Raw genomic sequence first — 12561 nt, forward strand, 5'->3', positions numbered from 1 at the left:
ATACTTGTTATCCAAAGAGAAGCGCTCAGTCTCTTGGAAGGAATACTTAGTATAACTAGAACCTAAAATGGGAATCTTGGGTATTTTTAATAGAAATTGAGAAATAATAAAATATTTGTTAAATCAGCCACAAAATGTTTAATTTAATAATTACAAATAGAAGGATTAAAAGAAGATTTGCTCTCCTTTATTAGAGCATTGTTAATATATTGTCATTAGATCTGATATTTTTGAGAGTGCCGTAGTATAGGTGCCGAGGACAAGGTAAAACATCCTTACCCATAATAGCTTACCAGGGTCTCAAGACTATGGCTGTTTTCCTTCTATTTGTGGACCTGTGTTTTCCAAATTAGTCTTCCATGAGCACTTAATGCTTTTGTAAAGAGAAAGAATAATAAAAGTTACATTACAAAAAAGCATAATCATTAAAAAGCAAACATGGTTGGGCATGGTGACTCATGCCTATAATCCCAGCATTTTGGGAAGCTGACGCAGGAGAATTGCTTGAGTCCAGGAGTTCGAGACCAGCCTGGGCAACATGGTGAAACCCCATTTCTACAAAAAACACAAAAATCAGCGGGGCGTGGTGACGCATGCCCGCAGTTCCAGCTACTCGGGAGGCTGAGGTAGGAGGATGGCTTGAGCCCTGGGCAGAGACTGCAGTGAGCTGAGGTCGTGCCACTGCACTCCAGCCTGGGTGACAGAGCAAGATCCTGTTTTGTTGTGTTTTGTTTTTTAAAAGCAAATACTTTTTGGGGGATGCTATTTGTTTCCCCCAGCTACTCTATCTCTAAGATATTTAAAGGTGTCTTGTTTACTTGGATGAATGGGCTTATAAGTGACCTACTGGAAGAAGCTTCTCTTTGAATAAGAGAGCCAGAGAGGGCAGAGATAAGATGAAGTAGGCCGCCTAGCCAGCAGGTGCCATCCTGAGAATGACAAGCACAGACAGCCCTTGTCCCTGGGCCCATCACATGGGTCTGCTGCAGGTGAGCCTGAGTGACATGTGGAGAGTCATGTCCCCTCTCAGCGTTTTATTTCCTGGCCTGGAAAATGAAGGAGTTGTGCCAAGGCCTTAGCTGACTCCCTGCTTCTAAATGATCTGCTATCATAAGGTTTGATTTTTCTCCTTGATAGTTTGTCAATTCATACTTTGTCATTTAAGAGTTATGGAAAAGCATAGTTCTCTTTAAACCTGCTTTTCAAGGAAATTCTACTGGATTGTCTGGAAAGATTTAGCCTTCTACACCAGGTTAGTAGTGGACAGAATGGACACTTACTTAGTGATGCTTTCAAATGGGTCAGCTGGATGTAGCACTCGGTTGAGAAGGGAGAGGTATTGAATCCTTCGCCAAGTTATTGAGAGTTTTTAATCTCAGTACTCTGCAATGTGTGATGTGAATCAGCCACAGAAAGCAGTGTGTTTACAAGATCCAGGTCCTCTACAGTGGACATATATGGGGCCATCCAAGTCCCATGGGCATTATCAGAGAGAGTAGATTTTTTTTGTTTTGTTTTGTGTTTTGTTTTGAGACAGAGTTTCGCTCTTGTTGTCCAGGCTGGAGTGCAGTGGTGTGATCTTGGCTCACTGGAACCTCTGCCTCCTGGGTTCAAGCGATTCTCCTGCCTCAGCCCCCCGAGTAGCTGGGATTACAGGCATGAGCCACTGCACCCAGCCATCAGAGAGAGTGTTTTTATGAGAAGGAGGATCCTAAGAGCTCTACAATCTGGCTTTGGAGAGAGTGCTACTGAGTGAGAGCAGATATGCTCTACAGGACTCTGATAACCAAATAATGATAAACATTTATGTTTCTGGCATGATATTTACATACTCATTCTTGGGAGCAAGGGTTCTAGGGGATCCTCAGAGAGTTCCCTTCATTATCTCATTCATGATTTCAACAGCAGTTGAATTGGGGGTATTACCTTACTTAAGTAGATGTTACATTTACTTCCTCCCTGAATTTTATGATCTTACTTCATTTGTGAAGTTCAATACTAGTTTATGTCTTTTCAGAAAATGTCAATCATAGAGATTTCCTTGTTAAAATATAATTTCCTCCCTATCTTTGTTCCTTTTCCAGGATGAGGAAGAAGAGTCCAGTAGGCAGGAAACCGAAGAGAAAATACTCCTGGATCCAAATAGCGAAGAAGTTTCTGAGAAGGATGCTAAGCAGATCATTGAGTATGTACTGCATTTTTCCCTTGGAAATGCATTGCATGAGGATGATGCTTAATGAATTTTCTTTTAGGAAATTTTGTTCAAGGAAGGCAACTAACTTCACGCCTACACTCTGCTTGAAACTGTGCTCCTAGAGGTCACCACTGAGTTCTGGGTTCCCAGGTCTCGGGGTTTCGTGTTGATTCTCCATCCCTCCCTCCCTTCCTTCCTTCCCTTTCTTCCCTTTCTTTCTCACTTCCTTACCCTTCTCTCTCCTTAATCCCCACCTCCAGCTCAGGCTCACTCCTGAGCCTCACACCTGTCGTCTGCACCTCAGTCCCAGATTGAACTAATGAAACTTATCTCCCTAACTGGCTGCTTCGCTGCCTTTCCTGCCTCCCTTAATGATATCAGCAGTCTCCCTGAAACCCAAGTGAGAGACACCATTCCTGTCTTACTCCTGCTGCCATAGCCAAGTTGACCACCAACTCTCGCCCAGTCCCTGAACCCTCTCCAGCCCTCCGAGTGCCCTGGCTCTGTGTCTCATCCATTCCTGTGGGCCCTCTACGTCAAGGGTTTGCACATTTCTTTGCTTGTATAGCTGTACTATTAAAAGAAAACTGTTGTGAAACAATATAAAAGATGAGGTATTTTAAAAACCAGAAATAGACATCCTAATATTTCTCCCTTTTATTCCATGGTTGTGTGCCCCACTTTAGGGACCCTTCCTCCTAGCAGTCTGCCCTGATCCTTCACTGAAGGTGTTAAGAATCCCCCTCAGTGGTTCCTCATTGCCTGTAGAATAGCAGAGTAGCTCATGAACAAGGCACAGAAGATAGAAGCCTACCTTTCCTCCTTCCTACCCCTTTAATGTTGGGTTGCCCTCTCCCCCTGCCCTCCCAGCTTTAGCCAGTGTTCTGTGAATAGGATTTATCTTTGTATTTAACAGTCTAGGACAGCTTCATCGGCAAAGTATTCATCTGCAGGTGTAGGGTTCAGGCTCCTATCTGTCTTTTGGGTCAAGGGGGCCTGCATTCGAATCCTGGTTTCACTACCTTTTATGTGATCCAAACAAATGAAGTAACCTCTCTAAGCCTCGGGTTCTCCACCTGCATAAAATGGGGATGATCATCATAACGCCTTTTGTGCTTGCTTTTTGAGAGGATTACAGATAGTGTATATTAACTGCATGGCAAGTCGTGGTTGATAAATAAAACACACTTATTGCAGCTATTTTAGGTTCTCAAATCATTTTTTGAGTGAAGTAAAACAACACATGCACGCACATGTCTGTGTGTGATTCTCCACTTTTTCCTTTCCCAGGACAGCTAAGCAAGACGTGGATGATGAATACAGCATGCAGTACAGTGCCAGGGGCTCCCAGTCCTACTACACCGTGGCTCATGCCATCTCGGAGAGGGTGGAGAAACAGTCTGCCCTCCTAATTAATGGGACCCTAAAGCATTACCAGGTAATTGGCATGGTTTCAGTTTCCTTGGCAAGTTGTAACCATTTACCTAATTTTGATTGAAGTATGTCGTGCACATGTTGACTAAGGGCTTTTGATGATATTTTAGGCCACATCACTTATAATACTGAGGTTCCTTTCATTGTGCCTATGATTCTTCTTTTAGAGTACTCCATGTTACCATCTTTACTAGGGCATGCCATACCCATTTTCTCTTTTATGCTTTTGGGATGTATTTTAAGTGATCTCTGCAAAATGGAAAACCCAGCCACATTCTATTAAACTGGAGAACATCCACGCCTCATCTTGAAGTATTTCTTTAAAATTTTTAGGTGTGGCTGTGGTTTTATGCCGTGGATTGAACCCACCTAGGAGTAGCTGTCTACTACATTTATGCTTTTTCTTAAGACACAATAGGCCAGGCATGGTGGCTCACTCTTGTAATCCTATCACTTTGGGAGGCTGAGGTGGGTGGATCACTTGAGGTCAGGAGCTCGAGACCAGCCTGGCCAACATGGTGAAACCCTCTCTCTACTAAAAATACAAAAATTAGCTGGGTGTGGTGGCACATGCCTGTAATCCCGGCTACTCTGGAGGCTGAAGCAGGAGAATCGCTTGAGCTCCGGAGGTGGAGGTTGCAGTGAGCCAAGATCTTAGCACTGCACTCCAGCCTGGGTGACAAAGTGAAACTCCATCTACAAAAAAAAAAAGAAACAATAAAATTGTGAGCATCTGTGCTTTGATTAAAAATTAGGCCATTGTTTTATTTGACCTGTCTGGATTGAGGCTAATTCCCTGTGTTCTACCTTCTACCACTTAGTGACGTTTCCCAAATTGTGTTCCATGAGACATTTGTTCTATGAATTGTTCCTTAAAAATTAAAAAAGGAGGCCAGGTGCGGTAGCTCACGCCTGTAATCCCAGCACTTTGGGAGGCTGATGTGGGCCGATCACAAGGTCAGGAGATTGAGACCATCCTTGCTAACACAGTGAAACCCTGTCTCTACTAAAAACACAAAAAAATTAGCTGGGTGTGGTGGCGGGCACCTGTAGTCCCAGCTACTCGGGAAGCTGAGGCGGGAGAATGGCGTGAACCCAGGAGGCGGAGCTTACAGTGAGCCGAGATAGCACCACTGCACTCCAGCCTCGGCAACAGAGTGAGACTCTATCCAAAAAAATAAATAAATAAATAAAAATAAAAATAGATAAATAAAAAAAGAGGTTTGTGGCCAAATACTGTAACTAAGATTACCATATAAATTACTATTTCTAACTTGAATACTTGTGAACGTGAGTCGAGGGCCTTATTATTGATAATAGGCATAACCCTGGACTGTCCCTGAACAACAACCAGATACGGTCACTCTGGCAGTGACCCCTCTTGTTAATTCACATGCCCGTCAGCACACTTGGGACTCTGCGGAAATCAACATGTAACCATAAGGCACATCAGCATCCTGCAGTAAAATCACTTCTTTAACATTGTTTAACTTCATATTTCCCAAATTTCTTTGACTACCAAACCCTATTTTTATATCACCAATTAACATCCTGTAAGACTAGCGTCTTCTAGAATACACTTTAGGAAGTGTACTTGTTGGCATCGGGTCCTCTCTACTCTTAACACTTGGTACTGTGTCTGCTGCCCTTGCATAGGAGTGCAGAATACAATGACTGCCAGTACAGTACTGCCTTGATGGTGCTGAAGCACTAGCAGTTTTTACCTACCAATGCTTTTGCATCATCAGTGCAGACGTCAACACAGTAAAAATGACAAGTAATGCCTTAGTATTGTCATGCTAATCATTTTGACCTCGTGGATCTCCTTCCAAGATCTTGGGGGGCCCTGAGAACCCCTGGAACACATTCTGAGGACCACTGCTCTGGCCTTAGTAAGATCATGTTTTCTCCAAAGACCATGTCATAGTCCTGAGATCCAAAGCAGGTTTCATCTTGTTTGGCCTACCTGACATAGATGTTAACTCATAGCATGCTCTAATAAACTTTTGTATATCTGCATATGGGAGATCCATCTTTTGAATTATTTGTGAATAACTTGTAATGCCACATGGGTTTTCTTCTGTCATCCAACACCCTTCTAAGCAGTCTTCATCACTCTCTTTTCAAACCTAGCTCCTTCGACTTCCATATGTGAGTTTTATGCCTCTGTGTTGCTGAGCTGCTGTAGATTCCCCGAACATGCCTTGCAGTGTCTCTCTGGATTTATACCTTATGAAGTGCCTTCTTCCTGGAATCTTGACTAGCCATGTCCGCCTGATGAGATCTCACAAACCAGTTCAAGTTGTGGCTCAAACCTTCCCTGATCATTTCTCATAAACCAGTTCAAGTTGTGGCTCAAAGCCTTCCCTGATCATTCTCTCCATGAGTAAGCTTTCTATCTTCTTGCTTCTTGACAGGTTTTTGTGTCATTAATATTTACTTAACCTTGACACGGCTGAGGTCTTCCTGCTACTCCTAGAGAGCCACATAAGCTTGGTTCAATATCTAATCCTCCCCCTGGCCAATTCTGCCAGTTTCCAGCCTGAGAAAATCCAAATTACTTCCCACAATTTTTGTGAATTTCTAGTCTCCTCTGCTGCTAGTTTCTACTTCTGTTTTGTATTGAATTAGCACAAACGCAAAATTCAGCCCCTTTACCAATTTTCTCTAAAAAAAGCAGAAACAAAAATTCATCCTACAGAGTATCCAAAATGTTTCTTGTATTTAGTTGACTTTTCTAAAGCTCTAGTGGTTTCAGGGTCACGTTGCAGGCTGACAGCTTCTCCTGTCTACCACTGTTTGTTTTATAATAATTTCCCCTCTTTCCCTCTATCTTTTGCCCATTCTCTTGGAGGTTCTTCCTGTTTCTCTACTTATCTCTTGTTGTTGTTGTAGTTCTGCAGAAACCTTTAGGATGACTTTGGAATCTTGCATGGTACAAAGTATCTCAAGTGGCTTATGGAAGTATTGCTTCAAACCAATGCGGTGTCTCCCTAAGAAAAATTCTTGTCAATACAGTTTTATATGTATACATATACATTGGCACTGTCAACCACTTCTTGGCATATGTGTATATGTGCCTCATTCATTGTTTTCTCTTTTATTTGAGCTTCTGAAGGGAGGCATGCATCTTACAGACCTTGGTATCTATCTGCTACAGCTCCTTGCATGGCCCCTTGCACAGAATAGTCATTTAATAAATATTTTAAATAAACTAATTGCTTGCTTTGTTCTTACATAAAAAATTAACATTTCCCTAAGCATAACATCATTAGCAAGCTAAATTGACTTTAGCAAACATATATATAATTGATCCTATCATTTAAATCCAGCATCTGTGGTATGATGGTGGAAGGGAATTGTTGGTTGGGGGATGGAGGTTTAACAATTTTGTATTTTCACCCAACCTTACTTTTGTACTTAACGTGGGGAATCTCTGGTACAGTGTTTTTGTACTTCAGAAATACGTTGAGCATGTTTCCAGTTGCCAGCTTCCAGTGTGCAGCCTTTGGGTAGTACTCACATTACAAAGTTCCCATGTGCTGTCTGGGAACTTTCTCTCTGCCAGGAAGAGAAATGTCCTCCTGTGGTCCCAGCAGAGTGTCCCTGGCTCCCTGGTCAGTCCGCCTTTTCACTGAGGGGACCTCACCCATATTACCGAAAAGGCTGTTTTTAATAATCTGTGATCTGTGTGCCAAATCTGCCTTCACATTGGCTTTTTATTCTTGGAGTGGTTGGATTAGATTTTGGTTTGGGCTTTTTTCATTTATAATAATTCTAGAATGTCACATACTGTGAAATACTAAGTGTGGATGAGCGGCAAAGCTGCTTTAAAACTCACCTGTCAAGAAGCAAGAAGAGAGAAAGCTTACTCATGGAGAGAATGATCAGGCTCATATTTTACATTCTTTTTGCATTGGTGCTTCCCCCATTTTCCTACTGTGGGAAACCCAACATACAGCAGTGAGGAGTTAAGAAGTCACACCCTCACTTGGGTTGTATTAGGATTAATTACCTGTGCAGATCTTGGATAATTGAAGCAATTACTCTTCATTTCAGCTCCAGGGCCTGGAATGGATGGTTTCCCTGTATAATAACAACTTGAACGGAATCTTAGCCGATGAAATGGGGCTTGGAAAGACCATACAGACCATTGCACTCATCACTTATCTGATGGAGCACAAAAGACTCAATGGCCCCTATCTCATCATTGTTCCCCTTTCGTAAGTAAAGTCATTTATTCCACAGTCATCGTTCTGTATGTTGTAGAGTGCCCGATTAGTAGCTTGTCCTTGTTTTTTACTTAAGACAGAATTGTAGCATGTACTAACCTAAATCCAGATTACCAAGAGCATGTAATCTGGATTTAGGTTTTAATTTCCCACCCCTCCCCATCCTAGCCTGTTTGATTGGCTATTTAAGCACGGGACCGAGTGATTTTATCGGCCATCAGCATTACAGGTCTGCACAGCCTGAACACTGCATAGTGAGTCTTGCTCATCATTATTCCTTAAGTGGCTCACAAAGGGGAAAGGTGTGTGTGTGTGTGTGTGTGTGTGTGTGTGTGTGTGTGTGTGTGATTTCTTTGATTTTTTCCTTATTCCATTTCCAAAAGATGATATATTCTTAAATCTTCCTTTTAAAAGCAGAACATAAATCAAAATCATAACTAGGAGTTTTGCATTAAAATAACCTTAGTATGTGCACTGAGGTTATGTTTCAATGAGTTTGCTGCTTAGTAAGGACAGGAGTTTGCTGTTCGCCATTACGTTCCCAGTGCCTCACCTGCTAGGTGGTTCTTAGAAGGTCCTAAGTGGGCACTACCGAGTGAGGGCACAGTGATTCACAAGCACCCTCCTGGGAGTTCAGTGTGTCTGCCTGTGGGTGTTAGGTTGCAGTTTTGTTCACCAAGGTCTTGTTATAGATCTCAATGCTGATATGAACTTGGACCTTCAGTAAGAAGAAGGATTCTATTAATATTATTGTGTTTTCTTTGAATTTTTTCTAATGAAGACTATTTGCAGCCCTTTTTGTATGAATTATCTGTATCTGTAATATTTAGGCATCTTTTGCATTTGATCTATATTTTGCGTGTTCTGAATCATATATACAGTGACACTTTCAGGGCTTTAAAAAACGTCATTCAATATTTCTTCCCCTGTTCCCTCTTGACAGATTTATTTTATGTTTTCATGTGGTTTTATAATTTCTTTTTCCTGACTCATCTTTTTTCTGAACCTATATGGCTGTTTATGAAGATTCCTAAAATCATTCTGGCAATTGCTCTTTTTTAATATCATATTACAGTTTAGTTTTTTGCTCTCTATATTTATGTATTCTTTAGTTTTTTTCTTACAAGATTTTTTTATGAACCACAAACTTGTCATGTTTTGTGACAGTTTGTTTTGAACTTATCTCCTATTTCCACACCTTTAAAATAAATATCTTGTTGAGATATGTTATATTCTGTAGCCCCTTTCAAGGTGAGGCCTGAACATGAATAAGAACATCTTTTTAACCATTGATTTTTATACAAATGTCTTTTTTCTGTTGTTTTTTTTTTTTGTTCCATAGGACTCTATCTAACTGGACATATGAATTTGACAAATGGGCTCCTTCTGTGGTGAAGATTTCTTACAAGGTTTGGAATGCTGTATTTATATATAAATGTGGAAAAGCAAAAAATAGACCCTATTTTCTTCATTCCATATGCACATCTGTGAACTGTATTTGGTTGTAAAGTTTTGTCATGTACATCATGTACTAAACCGTGAGAGTTAATCATCCCAAGAAGATTACTGTAATAAACCATAATTACTTTCAGATAGTGAAATCCAGAAGAAAATTGTTAATTATCATATTGCAAGGTTTCTGATGAGAGTAATACAAATGACAAATATCACACATTCTGCGTGCTGCTGACTGGCTCGCTGTGGGCTGCTACTGTGCTGACTGTTCCTGCAAAGTCAGGCAATTACCCGGATGCCCGGGGCTGCCTGCTGTACTTTCTCAACAGAACTGGAGCCTTTCAGCAGAGCGGTGGGTTCTCTACTACCACAAATTCACTGTCATTTCCATTTCCCTTTGCCCTCCCACTGTCTTTGGTGGGAAAACCTTTCTAAAAAAAGATCTGAAAAGGGTCAAGACGTGTAATTTAGCCAAAACTTCCTCGTGTATAATAGATCAGTCTATGAGAATGTGTGTCTGTGCATTCTTCAGTCACATGTCTGGGCATCATTAAGCTATGAAAAGTGAGAAATAATGCACATATATGTCCATAGGATCATGCATGTATTTTTTTCTTTCCATTCAGGGTACTCCTGCCATGCGTCGCTCCCTTGTCCCCCAGCTACGGAGTGGCAAATTCAATGTCCTCTTGACTACTTATGAGTATATTATAAAAGACAAGCACATTCTTGCAAAGGTATGTTTTTAAAAAATTATTTTCTCTCTAATTAGGACCATTGCACTGGAATGTGAAGTATTGCCCAAGTCAGTAGTGTAATTGGATCCTTAGATGGCTTGTCCTTTTCTTTATTTTTCTAAAATTTTTTCAGAGTTTGATATGTTTTGGTCGTGGATTTGATTTCATGCATGCTGTGTGTGTGTGTGTGTGTGTGTGTGTGTGTGTGTGTGTGTGTGTGTTTATGATTGATCCTGGGGCGGCTCTTGTCTATCCCCTCAGAGTTGATGAGTTTACATCTCTTAAAAAAATTCACCTGGTTGCTTCTGCAACTCTTTTTCTCTCTAACAGCTTTGCACATTCTCGGGAAAGAAATAATTGTTTTTGTTGCCCTGAGATATTGTCAGTGTACCTTCATTCTTCTTGTGCCTTTGTTTCTCCAAAGATGAGCCAGACACCTCTCCATATGGTCTCCACCATATGAACATTTATCCAAGCCGTGGCTTTTGTGGTAGTCTTGTTTCAGGTTTTTCCTGGTGAAATAATAGACTATCATTGTTGGAGTTACTTAAGGTTGTTTCTGTGACTATTTATTTGAAACTGAGAAAGAGGTGTTTCTGTGACTTACATGTCTCCTAATTTTTATGTCCTAAGTTGTTCCTTAGCCACAAAGTAGAAATTTTTACTCCCATTTATATCATCTTGTCTTCTAATACGTTCATGTAGAAAGATGGAAGTGCTCTCTTTCGTGGAACAAATAATGAAAACTCTTTTTTTTCCTCTTTAGTAATTTTTTTTACCCCATGACGTTTTGAAAGCACTATAATCTGAAACTAAGTTATGTCCAAAATTGAATAGAACCTCTATTTCTGGGGTCTATTCTACCTCTGCATTAAACTCTTGCTCTGGGAACTGAGAGTTCCCTTCATGGCATCATAGGAAATAACAAAAAGGAAATGTGTTCCCAGGGGAGGTTTAATAATTGAGATGGCACTGGCAACAATGCTGTGTTCCACCTCCTCACACTCAGAGATGAATTTGGCAGTGTCAAAAATGATGTGTTTTCAATATTACTATGGGAATGTGTTTGTACATTTGAGATCCTTTTAAAAAAATTCATCTTGTGTCTTCTGCATATGTATTTCAAGATTCATTGGAGACGCCTGGTAATGAGATGCACTGCTTTTATTTGTTACTGGAGAAATGGAGCTATAGAAAGAGGTAGTAATTTTGTCCAAGTGGAAGACCTAATTAGTAGTAGACCCCATAGCAAAATCAAAGGCCTCTGATTCTTTATTATTTCATAAGCTAAATTAGGCAGGAAAGTAGATTTAGGATATTTATTTAAATATATTTTTTGTCTGCTTGCCTCTTTTCATGCTGTTGGTAAGTCTGAGGCAGTTGATTGTACAGCTTTAATTATCCTTAAACACTTTTCTTAGAGGTGGTGGAGGAAGGAAAAAAAATCGAGGTAGTTTTTTTTTTGTTTTTTTCTTACCTGTACATCCCAGCCTGACTGATGATTTTATTCCTTTTCTCCTGGCACGTCTGATGCTTCTAATGAGGAAGGCAAGGACTGTATAGAATACTTTCCTCATCTCCCTTCTCTCTCTAGGAGCTTTGCAGCAGGATCTGGGGACATCTGAGCACCAGATGTTTTTCTTGGCCATTGCCACTGTTTTGTAGAGAATGGATAGGCTTAGTGGAACATTCCTCATTGTTCTCACTTTAAGAAACTGAACAGTGCTCTTAAGAGGACTGAAGGGTAAGGTATGAGAGAGGGAACGTACTGTGTAGACAGGAAGGAGGACTGGGCCATATAAGCATTCTGGACGTTTTACGCAATCGTCATGTTGGGGAAGTATGCTGTATTTAATTCTGCAGTTTTGGCATAAATACAGGAGTGATATTTTTGCAGTGCGCTTTCTGCCAGTGAGTATATTCTTTTATTTTAGATAAAACAGGGGTCCTAGATCTGGCAGGTAAGGAATGTGCGTGTATTGAGGGAGCTTCGTTGTCAGACCTAATTTTTGAAAAGCCGTATGTACAAATTTAATGTGAAATAGTCCAACTTTTAAATGTTAGCAACCAGTCCAAACAAAACAAAACACACTTCCGGGCCAAGCCCTAAAGGTAGTAACCAGCCAGGCTAATAGAAAAGAAGGCATGGAGCCAAGAATATCTCAGCTGTAGAACCTGCTAGGGCCATCTTGGAAAAATCAGTCATTAACCTCTGCTTCAGGTGGGTACCTATATTCTGTGCCTGTCATGAGCTGAAATAGCATGACCATGAAATCTGGGATAGCTGTCATGATAACGTATTAATAGAAGGGGCATTGGATGGGGAGAGGCAGGATCCACACGTGGAAACAACCATGTCATTCTGGACCCAAATTTCCTTCTTTGTAAAAAGTTGATTTGGAATTACGTGGTCTGTAAGGAACATTGTTCCTTTAACATTCTATTATTATAGGATGTCTTATGCGGCCTATCAGGCATGAGACATTGTTGAGATTCCCTTGTCTCAAAG

The 12561-nt window shown here is 40.8% G+C and overlaps 1 protein-coding gene across 4 annotated transcripts in view; it reads left to right on the top strand.

Annotated features, from left to right (window-relative positions):
* The window catches only part of SMARCA2 (SWI/SNF related BAF chromatin remodeling complex subunit ATPase 2), a 178274-nt gene that overhangs the window by 58798 nt on the left and 106915 nt on the right, over positions 1–12561 (top strand). For all 4 annotated transcript variants that reach the window (NM_003070.5, NM_139045.4, NM_001289397.2 and 1 more), the window contains exons 13-17: positions 2085–2185; positions 3485–3632; positions 7688–7851; positions 9203–9269; positions 9942–10052. In NM_003070.5, the coding sequence (NP_003061.3) occupies positions 2085–2185; positions 3485–3632; positions 7688–7851; positions 9203–9269; positions 9942–10052 (591 nt within the window). The remainder of the gene's footprint in view (positions 1–2084; positions 2186–3484; positions 3633–7687; positions 7852–9202; positions 9270–9941; positions 10053–12561) is intronic.

The sequence above is a fragment of the Homo sapiens genome, chromosome 9, assembly GCF_000001405.40.
Source record: "Homo sapiens chromosome 9, GRCh38.p14 Primary Assembly".
NCBI lineage: Eukaryota > Metazoa > Chordata > Mammalia > Primates > Hominidae > Homo > Homo sapiens.